Source organism: Homo sapiens, chromosome 2 (genome assembly GCF_000001405.40).
Source record: "Homo sapiens chromosome 2, GRCh38.p14 Primary Assembly".
Classification (NCBI taxonomy): domain Eukaryota; kingdom Metazoa; phylum Chordata; class Mammalia; order Primates; family Hominidae; genus Homo; species Homo sapiens.
In genome coordinates, this window is record NC_000002.12 from 112204237 (window position 1) to 112220719 (window position 16483).

General features: G+C 38.3%; 2 protein-coding genes across 4 annotated transcripts in view; one reads left to right on the forward strand and one right to left on the reverse strand.

Moving 5' to 3' along the window:
- FBLN7 (fibulin 7) overlaps positions 1–16483 on the forward strand; it is a 106324-nt gene that overhangs the window by 65852 nt on the left and 23989 nt on the right. The gene's annotated exons all lie outside the window — the stretch shown is intronic.
- The window catches only part of ZC3H8 (zinc finger CCCH-type containing 8), a 43514-nt gene continuing 34323 nt past the window's right edge, over positions 7293–16483 (reverse strand). For both annotated transcript variants that reach the window (XR_001738994.2, NM_032494.3), the window contains exon 9: positions 7293–12232. The gene's annotated coding sequence lies outside the window, so the exon portion shown is untranslated. The remainder of the gene's footprint in view (positions 12233–16483) is intronic.

Here is a 16483-nt window from a genome sequence, read left to right on the forward strand (position 1 = left end):
TAAACATAGGTCATTGATATTATCCAGCTTGAGGAACAAAAAAAAAAAAAGAAAAACTATCTGAGCCTTAGATATTTGTGAGGTCACCATCAAGCATATCAATATATGTATAATAAGCATCTCAGAAGGAGAAGATAGTAAGAAAAGAAAGAAAGGGTATTTGAATAAATAAGGCAGGAAACTCCCCAAATCTGATGAAAAACACTAATATGCACATCCGAGAAGCTAAAAGAATTCCAAGCAGGATAAAGACAAAAAGATCCACACTTAGACCCATCATGGTCAAACTGTTGAAAGTCAAAAAGAATTTTTAAACTAGTAAGAGAAAAGACTTCAAGTATAAGGGAGCTTCAATAAGAGTAACAGGTCACTTCTCATCAGAAACTATGGAAGCCAGAAGACAGTGGGAGGACATATTCAAAGAGATCAAAGAAAAAAAGCTGTTGACCAAGAATTCGATATCAGCCAAACTCTTCTTCAAGAAAACAGAAACTTAGGCATTCTCAAATACAGAAAAATGGAGAAAATGTATTGTTAGCACACATACCACATAAGAAATATTAAAGGGAGTCCTTTAGGCTGATACAAAAGAACACTCGAGAGTAACTTGTATTCACACAAAGAAATAACACCAATAAAGGAAATTATGTAAGTAAATATAAAAGACAATATAAATATATTTTTTGTTTATGACACTGTTAAATTTTACCTTATTTAAATGACAACTGCATAAAGCAACAATTATACAACTGTGTTGATGAGTTTATAATGTATACAAATTTAATTGGTATAAATAAAATAGTACAAAAGAGGGAAAAGGGAAAAAAGCCATATTGGAACAGGTTTTCACTGTCTACTATAGAAATTAAATTGGTGTCAATCTGAACTAGATTGTTTTACATTGTTAATTATAATCCCTGGGGCAATCATTAACAAAATAACTCAAATGGCTATAGTAAAATAAATATCAAAGGAATTAAAATAATAGACTAGAAAATATGTATTTAACACAAAAGAAGCCATTCATAGAGGAATAGAGAAACAAAAAGGACATGACACTCAGAAAGCCAATAACAAAATGTCAAACATAAAATTCTAGCTTACCAGCAATTATATTAAGTGTATTTGGACTGTTATATATGCATACATTTTATATATGTATGGAGTAACTACTAAAAAAACTATACAAAGAGATACACTCCAAAATACTATAGAGAAATAAAAATGGAATTCTAAAAAATGTTCAAGTAACCCACAGGAAAGCAGGAAAAGAAAAAAAGAACAACAAAGATAACAAAACAAATAATAAAATGGCAAATTTAAGTCTTGACATATCAATAATTACATTAAATGTAAATAACAGTCTAAATACACCAATTAAATCAGTTGCTCATATTTGTGTGGACCTAGTTCTGGAATCTCTAATCCATTAAGTTGATATGTTTGTCTGTCACTTCACCAGTATCACACTATCTTCATTACTGTAGCTTATAGTAATTTTTAAAATCCAGCTAGCATGAGTCTTCAAATTTTATTCTTTTAAAAAAAATGTTTGGACTATTCTAGTTCCTTTGCCTTTCCATATAAATTTTAGAATGAGCTTGTCTATACGTACAAAAAATTATTTGGGGATTTTTATGGGAGTTATATTAAATCTAAATTAATTTGGAGAGAATTGACATCTTCCTAATGTTGAGACAGTGTAGAATTGGTGGTGTTTCTTTTATAAATTTTGGTAGAATTTGCCAGTGAAAATATCTGAACCTGGAGATTTCTTATGTATGAAATTTAAACTATGACTTCAACGTCTTCAATAGTTACAAGGACTAATTCAGGTTATCTACTTCCTCTTATATGGGTTTAGTCATTTGTGATTTTAGAGGAGTTGGTGTATTTCATCTATAATCTCAAATTTGTGTGCATGTAGCTGTTTGTAGTATTCTCTTATACCTTTCATTTCTTGCAGGATTTCTGGTACTGTTCCCATTTTCATTCCTGACACTGGTATTTTTTGTCATCTCTCTTTTGCTCCTTATCAGTTTGCCTAAAAGTTTATCAGTTTTACTGACCTTTACAAAGAACTTGGTTTAACTGACTTTTTTTCATTGATTTTGACCTACAAAGCTTTGGTTTCACTGATGTTCCCTATTATTTTTCTGTTTACAGTTTCATTGATCTCTACAGTTGTCTTCATTTCCTTCATTCATTTTGCTTTGGATTTATTTGGCTATACTTTTTCTAGCTCTACTCCATTTTAGATTATTGACTTGAGATTCCTGGGTTCAAGCAATTCTTGTGCCTCAGCCTCCCAAGTAGCTGGAACTACAGATGTACACCACCACAGCTAATTTTTATAGAGACCGGGTTTTGCCATGTTGGCCAGGCTGGTCTCAAACTCCTGGGCTCAAGCAATCCACCTGCCCTTGGCCTCCCAAAGTGCTGAGATTACAGGTGTGAGCCACTGTGCCTGGGCTTCTATTATCTTTCTTATTGACTGTTTTTTTTTTTTTTTTTGAGACAAGATCTCACCCTGTTTCCTAGACTGGAGTGCAGTGGCACAATCACGACTCACTTCAGCCTCAACCTCTCAGGCTCAAGTGATCCTCCCACTCCAGCCTCCCAAGTAGCTGGAACCACAGGTGCACAGAACCATGCCTGGCAGATTAAAAAAAGAATTGTAAAGATGGGGTCTCACTCTGTTTTCCAGGCTGGTCTCAAACTCCTGGGCTTAAGTGATCCTTTTGCCTTGGCCTCCCAAGGTCCTGGGATTACAGGTGTGAGCCACTGTGTTCAGCTTTCTTACTGATTTTTAATCTACTTCCATTATGTACAGAGAATAGACTTTGAATTATTTCAATACTTTTAAATTTGTTAAGTTTTATTTTATGACCCAAGATATGGTTTATCTTAGTCAATGCTCCATGAGCACTTGAAAAGAACGTGTATTTGGCCAGGCAAGGTGGCTCATGCCTGTAATCCCAGTACTTTGGGAGGCAGAGGCAGGCGGATCACCTGAGGTCAGGAGTTCAAGACCAGCCTGGCCAACATGGCAAAACCCTGTCTCTACTAAAAATACAAAAATTAGCCGGGTGTGGTGGCAGGCACCTGTAATGCCAGCTAGTTGGGAGGCTGAAGCGGGAGAATTGCTTGAACCCAGGAGGCAGAGGTTGTATTGAGCAGAGATTGCACCACTGCACTCTAGCTGGGGCGACAGAGAGACTCCATCTCAAAAAAAAAAAAAAAAAAGAATGTGTATTCTACTCTTGTTTGAGGTATATTCAATAAATTTCAATTAGACCAAGTTAACTGATAGTGTTGCTCAGTTCTTCTATATATTTGTTCCGTCTATTAGTTGTATGGATTACTAAGAAAGGAGTGTTGAAGTTACCAAATATAATTGTAAATTTGTCTATTTCTTGTCTCAGTTCTGCCAGTGTTTGCTTCATATTCTGATTCACTGTTTTTAGAATGTATACACGTTTTGGATTGTAATGTCATAACAAGTCACCCCTTTTGTTATTATGCAGTGACTCTATCTTTTGAAGTTATCTTTGCTCTGAAGTCTATTTTATTATTAATATAGCCTCTCCATCTTTCTTTTGTTTAATGTTTGCATGTTGCATTTTTTCCCATCCTTTTACTTTTCACCAAAGTGACTTTATTGTAGACAGCATATAGTTGGGTCATTTTTAAAAAATCCGTTCTGACAATCTTTTTCTGTAAAGGCAGAAAGTAAATATTTTGGGCTTTGCAAGCCATACATCCTGTGTAGCAATTACTAAAGTCTGTTGTATTGGGAAAGCAGCCATAGACAACATGTAAACAAATGGGCATAGTTGTGTTCCAATAAAACTTTATTTACAAAAACACATAGTGGACTGGGCTGGAGGTGGTGGCTCACACCAGTAATCCCAGCACTTTGGGAGGCTGAGGCAGGAGGATCCCCTAAGGTCAGGAGTTCAAGACCAGCCTGGCCGACATGGTGAAACCCCTGTCTCTACTAAAAATACAAAAATTAACTGGGCATGGTGGCAGGTGCCTGTAATCCCAGCTACTCGGGAGGCAAAGGCAGGAGAATCGCTTGAATCCTGGAGGCGGAGGTTGCAGTGTGTCGAGATCACACCATTGTACTCCAGCCTGGGTGACAGAGTGAGACTCCATCTCAAAACACAAAACAAAACAAAACAAAAAAACAAACAAACCACACATAGTGGACTGGGGACTGGATTTGGCTTTTGAAGTTTAGACATTTACATGTAATTGAGTTATTATGTCTGGATTTAGGTCTATGTTTTATTGTTGGTATTCTGTTTGATCCATCCACTTCTTCCTTCTTGTTTTACTGGCCATTTCTGTTTGGTATTCTTTGCTGAGTCTTCCTTATTTCCTCAGACTCTTAATTATGGAGTACCCTATGGTTCAGTACTGGATTACTACTCTCTCTCTTTTTATCTCCACTAACTTTCCAGATAATCTTATACAGTCTGATAGTTTTTAATATTATCTACATGCTGATAACTCCAAAATTTATATTTCCAGGCAAAACTTCTTGAAACAAATCATAACTTAAAAGTGACAACTTCAAGTTCCTCTGACATTTGGGGATCAGTTCATTTGTAATAACATAAATATATTTCTAGTCCAAATGACCCAAATTAACCCTCTGGACCTATCTTGAATGAATGGCTGATTTCAGAAAAAGGTGATGATGATGTGGCATTTGATTTGGACAATCCACCCCCTCCCCAAGATCCCTTTTGGTTCCCTTAAAAATGCATATTAGACAACTTCCATTGTATTGTCCCTTAAATTTTTCAGTGTATTTACATCCATTACCTCATTGGAATCTCAAATCAAAATCATAATGTAGGCATGACAGATTTTATTTTTGGCTCCATTTTCCGGATAAAGAAACTAAGTTTCAGAAAGATTAACTGCCAAATGTCACACAGCTTAAAAATGAAGAAAATGGGATGCAAACACAAGACAATAATGAAAACATGGTGCTTTTTCTGCTGAAACAGGCTACCTTTCCCCCTTTATCTGCACCTCCGGCTGCTTCTCTGGAGGTGTTTTAGTACGAAGAGTGCTTCAGAACTTCTGAGTTTGACAGACTTGGGTTCAAATTCCAGCTCAATCATTTGCTGAATTACCCTGGGAAAAACTCAACCATTTTAGCTTTCTGGTGTGAAATGGCAATGACATCATCTACCTCATAGGCTTACTTTGACAATTAGAAGTAATAAAGAAATATACCATAAACTTAGGGAGTGAAGAAATAATTTAATGGGCCCACAAAGCATGGCATCTCCAGAGTGAGAAAGGGGAGACAGAGACACAGTGTGTCAGAACATGACTACATTGAGAATGTCAACATGAGAGGGTAACCAAGCATGGGCTATCACCAGAGCCTGAGCAGGGTGAGGAAAATGGAGTCAGACAAAAATTGAAGTCACAAAAGGAAGATGGAAATCTGACCCAGGATGTAGGAACCCTATATAGGGAAGATGCATGTCTTCACAGGATGGCCACCTGACATAGTGTGAGAGCCCAAGCAGAGTGAGGAGGCCATCTGCTTAGAAGAGTGGCCCAAAAAAGGGTGTCAGAGCCAAAAGAGGGTGAAATTGACATCTGCACAGGTCAGCCTGGCCTGGGGTGTTGGAGGATGAGGGTGAAGTAGGATTAAAGGTGGAATCTATACCAAGTGGAGCCGGAGCACCAAGTGGAATGAGAGATGTTTGTGTGGGGAGTGGTGATGCTGGCAGCCCAGCACGGGGTGTCTGAGCCTGGGGAGGGTGAGGAGGGAATTTGTGCAAGATACAGGGCACTGAATTCTGAAAGGGATGGGGAGGAATCCAGATTGGTGATGGCAATCTGACATGAGGTGTTGGAGCCCAAGCAGAGTGAGGGCAGTGTCTTTACATGAGGTGGAGAATGTGGTGGCAGGGGCATGGCTCGGTATACCTGAAGCCCAGAAGAGTATCAGAGTCTTATCCTTCACTCAGAGATGGGGTAGCAGTAGGTAGCTGCAGTGGCGATGGAGATCGTAATCAATTAAATTAATATGTATATTAAAGATATTGGGATCCAGAATTCTCGCTGTTGAAGAAGGTTGTTAAAAATAAGGAAAGGTAATAGGCCGGGCACGGTGCCTCACGCCTGTAACCCCAGCACTTTGGGAGGCCAAGACAGATGGATCACCTGAGCTCAGGAGTTCGAGACCAGCTTGGCCAAGATGGTGAAACCCTGTCTCTACTAAAAATACAAAAATTAGCCAGGCATAGTGGCACATGCCTATAATCCCAGCTACTCAGGAGACTGAGGCAGGAGAACTGCTTGAACCCAGGAGGAAGAGGTTGCAGTGAGCTGAGATTGTGCCACTGCACTCCAGCCTGCGTGACAGAGTGAGACTCTGTCTCAAAAAAAAAAAAAAAAAAAAAAAAGGAAAGGTAGAAAATTGGACTGGAATTCAAGATGCTGGTGTGAAATCATGGTTTCCAATACATGTTGAAATATAGATGTAAATGTGTGTACATTTATACATACACACAAGACACATATTCCCTAGTTGTGTCTTAAGAAGGCACTAGATGCAGTGACATTCAGTAGTAATGAACACATCTAGCAACCAGTATTGGTTTGTAAATGCTATTCTTAACTAAAAGGAATCTGGGCTGCTTGGAGAAATGGCTGATCTGAGGGCTACGGTGGGAAGATACAAAATAAGCCTGGAGCACCTCTTCCAAACTCATTCAGGTTGCTGATAAAGTGGCTGTGGTTATAAGACTGAAATCTCCACTTCTTGTCATCTGGGGGTTGCCCTCAGCTACTAGTGGCTGTCCACAAGTCCTAGATGCATGGCAGTTTACTTCTTCAAGGCTAATAGCAGAATCTCTCTGATGCTTCCTATCTTTGACTTCAGAAAGGGCCCAGTCTCTTTAAAGGGCTCACCTGATTCATTGAGGTCTACCCATGATAATCTGCCCCACATTTTTTTAGAGTCAAAATCAACTGATTTGAGACCTTAATTGCATCAAATGTCAAATCTTCATATTTGCCATATAATAAAAATTAATCATGGGAGTGAAATCCATGATATTCATAATAATGCCCACATCCAAGAGGAGGAATTATGTAGGTCGTATACACTAGGGAAGAGGAATCTTGGGAGCCATCTTAGAACTCTGCCTACAGAAAGGAGAGGGGGCAAAGAACCACTCTTTTTCATTGAAAAAATCTTCATTATGCTTTTATAATTCACTCATCCATAATAAACTCCATAACAAACTTTATTTCATAGTAAACTTTTATTTAACTATGTACAACTTCAGTTAAAAATTATATTTAATAGAATCTAAATGCCACTGAATCAATAAGATTCACCATTTCTTATGTACTGCTAAGAAAACAATAACCTGCTAATTAAAATGAGTCTATCAATTGTAAAATATATTCCAGTTTCAGAGATGTTAAATAATGTGTAGCTCAGAGTAACATACAATAACTAAAAACATGTCTTTTTTTTTCTTTCATGCCTCCAAGACAAGTTCGAATTTAGTTTATTTTTAAATAATGTAAATGAGTGTTACAAATTTCACAGGAATCAACAGCACTTTTAAGATGAGTTGGGCATCTTGTCCCTCCCTATCCAAACATATACATTCTCCCCTCTCCTCTTAACCCTTCTAAATATATCTACTCTTCCTAGTTTTCTGCTCCTTATTATGAAAATAGCCCTCCCCATCTTAATTTCTCTTCATTTCTTAGTCCATTTGGGCTATTATAACAAAAATACCACAGACTAGGTGGCTTAAACAACACTTACTCCTCACAGTTCTGGAGATGGGGGGAGGTCAAGGTCAAGGTGCTGGTATATTAGTGTGTGGTGAGGGCCTGCTTCCTGCTTTGTAGACAGCCATTTTCTTGCCGTGTCCTCACATGGTGGAAAAGGGAGACAGCTCCCCAGGGCCTCTTTTATAAGGGCACTAATCCCATTCATGAGGGGCTCCACCCTCAAAACCCAATCATCTCCCAAAGGCCCTACCTCCTAACAGTTAGTCCTAGGAGTCAGGATTTCAACACATGAATTTTGGGGGTCGAATACATTCAGTGTCTAACACTTCCTTAAACCTGTTTCTTAATGTGTGCTCTTTGCAGGAGCTGAATACAATGAATGTAGTTTTTGGTGAAGAGGATGGCGAGGGGGAGAAACATGGACTTTGGGAAGAAGAATGTAGGTTTGCTTCTTAGTTCACATTTATTAGTTTCCCTTTGGCTGCAGGTAGCATAGTAGACAACCCAAATCAAAATGGCTTCAACAATAATGAAAATATATTATTTCAGGTGGTATGACATGAAATCTGAAGGTGAGGTATCGCTCATCTAAGACTGGTTAAGTCCATGGCTCAGCTGTTATCAAGGATCCAGCTTCTTCCCAACTTTCCTCTCTGTTTTCTTCAGCTAGCACCCCTTGAAATCTTAAGACAGCTGTCTCTGTTCTGGTGTCATAATCCCTATTATAAGACTGTAATAAAGATTAAAAATAGATTTAAAATGCATAGACACAATCCTAGCATTCAGCAGGTGCTCAACCTGAGATATTCTGATCTTGCCAAACTCCAAATGTGATGTCTTTGCTTATAATTGGCAGGAGGAGCCCCATGCTCTTTAGGCGCATTACCAAATCACCTAGTATTTTGAGTTCAGCAAGCACAACTCAGAAGAAATGCTTTTTTTTTTTTTTTTTTTTTTTATAAGAGACAAGGCTCTGTTGCCCAGGCTGGAGTGCAGTGGCACAATCAGGACTCACTGCAACCTCGAATTCATGGGCTCCAGTGATCCTCTTGCCTCAGACTCTCAAGTAGCTGGGACTCCAGGTATGCACCTCCATGCCTGGCTAATTTAAAAATTTTTTGTAAAGATGAGATCTTGCTATGTTGCCAAGGCTGGTCTCAAACTCCTGAACTCAAGTGATCCTCCTGCCTTGGCCTCCCAAAGTGCCGAGATTCAAGGTGTGAGCCACTGCACCCGGCCTGAAGAAATCCTTGCACGTAACCCCCCAGTGGTTATGCTTATAAGAAACTAGTCAGTGAACTAAGACAATTATGCTGAAACTCAGGAAACCTATTAAAACAGGGGACAGTCATTTAACATCTCGGGGTCTGAATTCCTAAAGTTCTACAATTGGATCAAGTTAAAACACCAAAAGGCTATATACTTGACCTATATTATCTCACCAACAGATAAAAATTGAGTTCTGGCCGGGTGCGGTGGCCCACACCTGTAATCCCAGCACTTTGGGAGGCCGAGGTGGGTGGATCACGAGGTCAGGAGATCGAGACCATCTTGGCTAATACAGTGAAACCCAGTCTCTACTAAAAATACAAAAAATTAGCAGGGTGTGGTGGCATGCACCTGTAGTCCCAGCTACTTGGGAGGCTGAGGCAGGAGAATCACTTGAACCCGGGAGGCAGAGCTTGCAGTGAGCCAAGATCGCACCACTGCACTCCAGCCTGGGCGACAGAGCGAGACTCCGTCTCAAAAAAAAAAAAAAAAAAAAAAAAAAAAAAAAAAAATTTAGTTCTACTATTATGTGGCTTTTAGTAACTGACCATAAAAAGACCCATATGAAACCTGTCACACAGAATTTTAGAAATGAGAATTCTGTCCATTCTATTCTGTGATTTCCATAATGAAGACCCACTTAAGAATTTTTTTTTTTTTTTTTTTGAGACGGAGTCTCACTGTCGCCCAGGCTGGAGTGCAGTGGTGCGATCTCAGCTCACTGCAGGCTCCGCCCCCTGGGGTTCACACCATTCTCTTGCCTCAGCCTCCCGAGTAGCTGGGACTACAGGTGCCCGCCACCTCGCCCAGCTAATTTTTTGTAATTTTAGTAGAGATGGGGTTTCACCATGTTAGCCAGGATGGTCTCGATCTCCTGACCTCATGATCCGCCCACCTCGGCCTCCCAAAGTGCTGGGATTACAGGTGTGAGCCACCGCGCCCAGCTAAGAATTGTTTTTATGAAATTATTGAGAGATTTTGCCTCCTGCTTCCTTTCTGGTATTGAGAGGTAAGTAGTTGATCACTTTATCCCGTTTGCTTTGGCTTTAAAGACGGTCAAGGATAAATTCAATAGAGCCATGATAACCATGCTGGCCAAATAAATCTGTGCAGATTTTTCCCATACAACTTTCTGGCTTTATTTCTCCTGGTTTGAATTTTTTAGACTATGGTTTTATTATATATATATTATATATGCTTGGAGCTGCATCAAGGGTCAGTGAGATTTACTTCACAGGAGGAAACCAAGGGGAGCAGAGGGAAGTAGGAAGCCCGGCTTGGTATGGCTACAATGGCTAGGTGATAGAGTACTTTGGACGAATGGCTCTTGAGACGAATGGCTCTTGGTTCAGGGAACGGCACAGTGGGGGCGTGGCTGAAGCAGTATACTCGGAAATCTGCTCTGAGGAACCAGAGCAAACTGTACAGAGGAAAGGGGAGAATGGAGGCCAGTGATTGGCTGTGAGGTGCTGCCATAACCCAGGTAGGAGAGACCCACAGGCTAGCAGCTGCTTTGAGAACACAGGACACATTCATGAGAATCTCTGTCTCCTAACTTGATTCAACACAAATTAAGATATTTCACTTACACAGGTATGCTTGTTTCTTAAAACAATTAATTTGAAAAATAAGAGGTTTTTAACCTACTCTATTTGACTTCTGAGTCCCTCAAATCTCTGCGGTGTCTTTTAAGTTTACAAGTGAGATGGGTACTGCCTCAGAAATATAACAATTATTTTTTTCCTTATATATAAACTTTATATATAAAATCTATACTTTATAAGTATCAAACTATTATACATGAGGTAATATTAGGAAGTAAACTGCTAGACTGTAGTATAAGATTAACTACAAGTATTGACAAGGCTCATGAAAATTAAAAAATTAAGCATTCCTATTTATTCCCTTTCTATGCAATGAATTGCATTATCCACTGTATAAGGTTGTTATGAGACTTAAATAAGAAGTGCCTTGCCCACCTCCCGAGCCACAGCTGAGAAGCGAACCAATCAACCTGGGCAGACAGCAAAAGGGCACTGAGAGATGACTTGCTCTCCATTCCTCAGTTTCCTGCTTCTAAGGGCCTAGGATTTACCCTTGTTTCCTGCTTTCTTTCGTCTTGTCTGATAAACCTTTGCTTGGAGTATATGCAATTCCCTTTCTTGCTTTAGCAGGATTAGATAACAATGAAAATAACTTTGATTCCTATTTTCAAATAGGACTTTGCTAAGAAGTATCACTAGCTTTGGTGTACTCTGTATGTCCAGCAAGTTGGTAATACTATTACTTTTCCCAACAATAAAACAATATAATGACGAGTTTCCATTTCATGGTATTTGTCTAATAATAACCAATAATCAATATTACTATATAAAACTGCATATTTAGAATCTCATTATTATTTGTACTTGGAACATTAGTATTTGAATCTTGTGTTAATGATACCATCACACTCCTAAAGTTTGTAACTCACACAAGTGTATAATCTGACTACAGTTTATAAACCAATGAGAAAGATAAATATTCTTATATTTTAACAACAGAAAAGTTACGAACTCTAAATTTAGAAATGGTATAGTAAGAGATATTGTTTCACTTTATTTATAATAGTAAGAAACTGGAAACAAATGTCTAACAATAGGAAACTGGTTTAAAAAAATCATAGAACCATAATTTATTTTAAGCCCTAAAATGAAATTGTGAACCATTAAAAATATGTTGTAAAACTATTTAATGTCATAAAGAGAACTAACTCTGTTTTTATGGTCCATCTACCAATGTCTTCCGAGCAGTTCTCTCTCCTCAAACCTCCTCTACCTCTTTACTCACCCTCACTCAGCCTAACCTTGCTTCCGATTTTATTAAGGAAATCCAATCAATCAGAAGAGGTTTCTACAATTTACTATCACATTTACCCACCAGCCATCACCTCTGCCATATATGCTCCTCTCCTATTCCAATGGCTGGAATGTCTCAGGGAAGACCAAGCCCTTCACTTGTACATTAGATCCCAGCTCTCTGTCCCATCCATTATGGAAGCTGCACATCACCCCAGTCACACAAGAGGGCACTCTGAATGAGGAATCTTGTAAACTACTCCAAATCACCAGTCTTGAACAGTCTTGAACACGCATGGGCGTTAAAGTACTCTTTATCTGTACATTGCTACCTACAGAAGAAAACAGAGAACAAAAACACATCAGCTCATGAAAATTACCAGCAGAGCCGCCCTTACTCCCAGTTCTCATCTCCCAAAACAACAACAACAAAAAACATATAGCTGAAGAAAACAAGCAAAAATCCAAACAGAATTAAACACCCCTCTTTGGGAAAATTAAAGAACATTCTGAATTGAAATTCAAAAACTAAGATTAGAACTGAAGCAAAAAAAAAAAAAATACAAATAATGAGACAAGAGTTGACTAACCTCAGACATGGCAAACAAGAAAAAAATTATATTACAAATGAAGACTATATTACAAGAAAGAATAAATTTGAATGGAAACATGATAAACATTATCGGACAAAAGCAGAAAGAGAACAAAAAATGAGATGAAGAAAGAAAAATTTAATAGAAAACAAAGAAAACACATTATAGAGAAAGAAACACAGTAACAATAAAATGACAGAAACTAAACCAAACATTTGGTAATTTCAACAAATGTGAATGGTCTTAATCCACTTATCAAAAGAAAAAGATTTTTGGTTGAGCCCGCAGAGCAAAACCCAACTACATATGTTCCATACAAGAAACAAACCTAAAAATTATTCAGAAAAGCTAAAAACAGACCAGGCGCGGTGGCTCACACCTGTAATCCCAGCACTTTGGGAGACCAAGGCGGGTGGATCACTTGAGCTCAGGAGTTCGAGACCAGCCTGGCCAACATGGTGAAACCCCACTTCTACCAAAAATAGAAAAAAATTAGCCAGACATGGTGGCACATGCCTGTAATCCCAGCTATTCAGGAGGCTGAGACATGAGAATCACTTGAACCCAGAAGGCAGAGAGGTTGCAGTGAGCAAAGATCGTGCCACTTCATTCAAGCCTGGGTGACTCCATCTCAAAAAAAAAGAAAAGCTAAAAATAAAGTGATGGGCAAATGAATATTAAAAGCAAATGGAAACATTTTCAAGTTGCAGTATAAAATGTGAAACCACATCAATGAACTTTTTATACTGTTACATTAAAATCCATTGGTCTTTGTAGGTTGGATGGGTGCTTTATGCATGTATAATTCTGTCATATTGTGCATTGTTTATTTAGAAAATATCAGTTTACTAATCTATGCAGATCTTCCACATGTTTCATTATATAGTAGAGTGTTTTTAAAAAGTTACATTCTTTAATATCACCAATGAATCTTGCCAAAACAGTCTTTAGGTACAGGAAAGCTTTCAAGCTCACAGGGACAGATCAGATGTTCTAAAATTATAATTTTTGCTTAAAAGCTTGAATTTTATCATTGATGACAAATATTTTCAGTTGTCCTCCTCAAAGTGACAGGGTCACTCTGTTCATTTCTGAAAAAGTTCCTGTCAAACATCTATATCTGAAAAAAAATGTTGCCCCTTGGTTTTGTTTCTTTGTTTGGGTTTGTGTTTGTATGTGTGTCTGGTTTCTTGTGTTTTTGTTTTTGTTTTTGTTTTTGTAGAGATAGGGTCTTATTGTGTTACCCAGGCTGGACCTGAATTCAAACTCCTGCCTCCACCTCCACAGCAGCTGGCATTACAGGCTCATACCAGCACACCCAGCTCTCAGTTGTTCTTTCAAGTAAAAATAGCAGTCATGAAAAACAACTCATTCAGCTTGCAACTCAGATAACACAGCACATGTACTTTTCTTAGGAATACAGTTGCAGAAGTACTTCATCTATCTTCCCATTCTCTAGGCATAATATTGAAAAGACTGTATATGAGGTTTAATAACATTAATAATTGTTACTGCTTCATCAAGGACATTCTTAAATGAACCTCACCCCAAAGGCAGATGTTTTCAGAAGGGAACTCTACTCAAGGTTTAGAAACCAGGCAGTCTCAATGGAACATAGACTCTTCTAGTGGAAATGCCTCTACTGTTTGCCTTATTGAGTATGGTGCATTCCTATTAAGGTATAGCATATTTTATCATGTTAAAAAAGTATCCCCCCAATGATCTTCTATGTAGAAAACCTCAACACACAATAATCAGGTGTATTTCTACACACAAACAATGAACAGTCTAAAAAGGAAATTAAAACAATTCCATTTACAGTACCCAAAAAGAATAGAATACGGTTGACTCTTGAACAACACAAGTTTGAACTGTATGAATCCACTTATATATAGATTTCAATAAATACACTGGAAAATTTTTTGGAGATTCACTACAATTTGGAAACATAGAGAGAGAGAGAGTCTACTTATGTGTTAATCGACTGTTTATGTTCTTGGTAAGGCTTCCCATCAACAGTAGGCTATTATTAGTTATGATTTTGAGGAGTGAAAAGTTATATGCAGATTTTTGACTGCATCTATATATGCAGATTTTACTGCAGGGGTCAGTAACCCTAACTCCTCTGTTATTCAAGGGCCAAATGTACTTAGGAATTAATTTAATCAAGGAGGTGAGACTTGTGTAACAGAAACTATAAAACACTGCTGAAAGAAATCAAAGGCACATAAATAAATGGAAAGACATCTCATGTTAACGGACTGGAAGACAATATTGTTAAGATGTTATTACTACCCAAAGCAATCTATGTATTCAATGCAATCTCTATCAAATTCAAATTGATGTTTTTTTCCAGAAATAGAAAAATCTGTCTTAAAATTCATATGGGATCTGAAGGAACAAATAGCCAAAATCTTGAAAAAGAACAAATTTGGGAGACTCACACTTCCTGAGTTCAATACAAAGTGATAGTAATCAAAACAGTGTGCTAACAGCATAAAAGATAGACATATAGAGCACTGGAACACAGTGGAGAGGGTAGAAATAAACCCTCACGTCTATGGTAAATAATTGACAAAAGTACCAAGACCATTCAATGAAGGAAGGACGGTCTTTCAACAAATGGTGCTAGGAAAACTGGATCTCCTCATGCAAAACAGTGAAGTTGGACCACTGTCTTAGACAACATACACAAATTAGCACAAAACAGATCAAAGACATAAATGTAAATGCTAAACCTATAAAGCTCATAGAGGAAAACATAAGGGAAAGTCTTCACAACACTATTTACAACATTATTTACCCAGAAGTCATTCAGGACCAGGTTAACTTCCATGTAATTGTATAGTTTTGAGCGATTTTCTTAGCATTGATTTCTACTTTTCTTGCACAGTGGTCTGATGAGAGTGTGAGTGGGGTGATTTTTTTTTTTAATTTGCTGAGGATTATTTTATGCCCGGGTGTATGGTCAATTTTAGAGTATGTGTTATGTGCAGATGAGCAGAATGTACATTCTGTTTTTGGGTGGAGAGTTCTGCAGATGTCTACTAGGTCCATTTGGTCAAGTATAGAGTTCAGGTCCCAAACATCTTTGTTACTTTCCTACCTCAACGATCTAATACTGTGAGTGGAGTGTTTAATGTCTCCCACTATTATTGTGTGGTTATTTAAGTCACTTCATAGGTCTTTAAAAATCTTTGTTGGTTTAAAGTCTGTTTTGCCTGAAATTAGAATAGACAACTCCTGTCTTTTTATGTTTTCCATTTGCTTAGTAGATTTTTCTCCGTTCCTTTACTTTGAGCCTAAGGGCGTCATTGCATGTGAGATGATCCTCCTGAAGACAGCATACCATTGGGTTTTGTTTCTATATCAGCTTTCCAGTCTGTGCCTTTTAACTGGAGTGTGTAGCCTATTTACATTCAAGGTTAGTATTGATACATGCAGATTTGATCCTGTCATAACATTGTTAGCTGGTTATTATGCAGACATGTTTGTGTGGCTGCATTATAGTGTCACTGGCCTATGTACTTTTAAGTGTGTTTTTGCAGTGGCCAGTAATGGTCTTTACTTCCCATATTTCGCACTCCCTTCAGGACCTCTTGTAAGGCAGGTCTGGTGGTAACAAATTCCCTTAGCCTTTGCTTGTCTGAAAAGGATGTAATTTTCCTTTGCTTATGAAACTTAGTTTGGCTGGATATAAAATTCTTGGTTGAAAATTCTTTAAGAATGCTGAATATAGGCCTCTAATCTCTTCTGGCTTGTAGGGTTGCTGCTGATAGGTCTGCTGTTAGCCTAAAGACCCCTTTGTAGGGCTGGGCGCGGTGGCTCACACCTGTGATCCCAGCACTTCAGGAGGCCAAGGCAGGTGGATCACCTGAGCTCGGGAGTTCAAGACCAGCCTGACCAACATGGAGAAACCCCGTCTTCATTAAAAATACAAAATTAGCCAGGCATGGTGGTGCGTGCCTGTAATCCCAGCTACTCAGAATG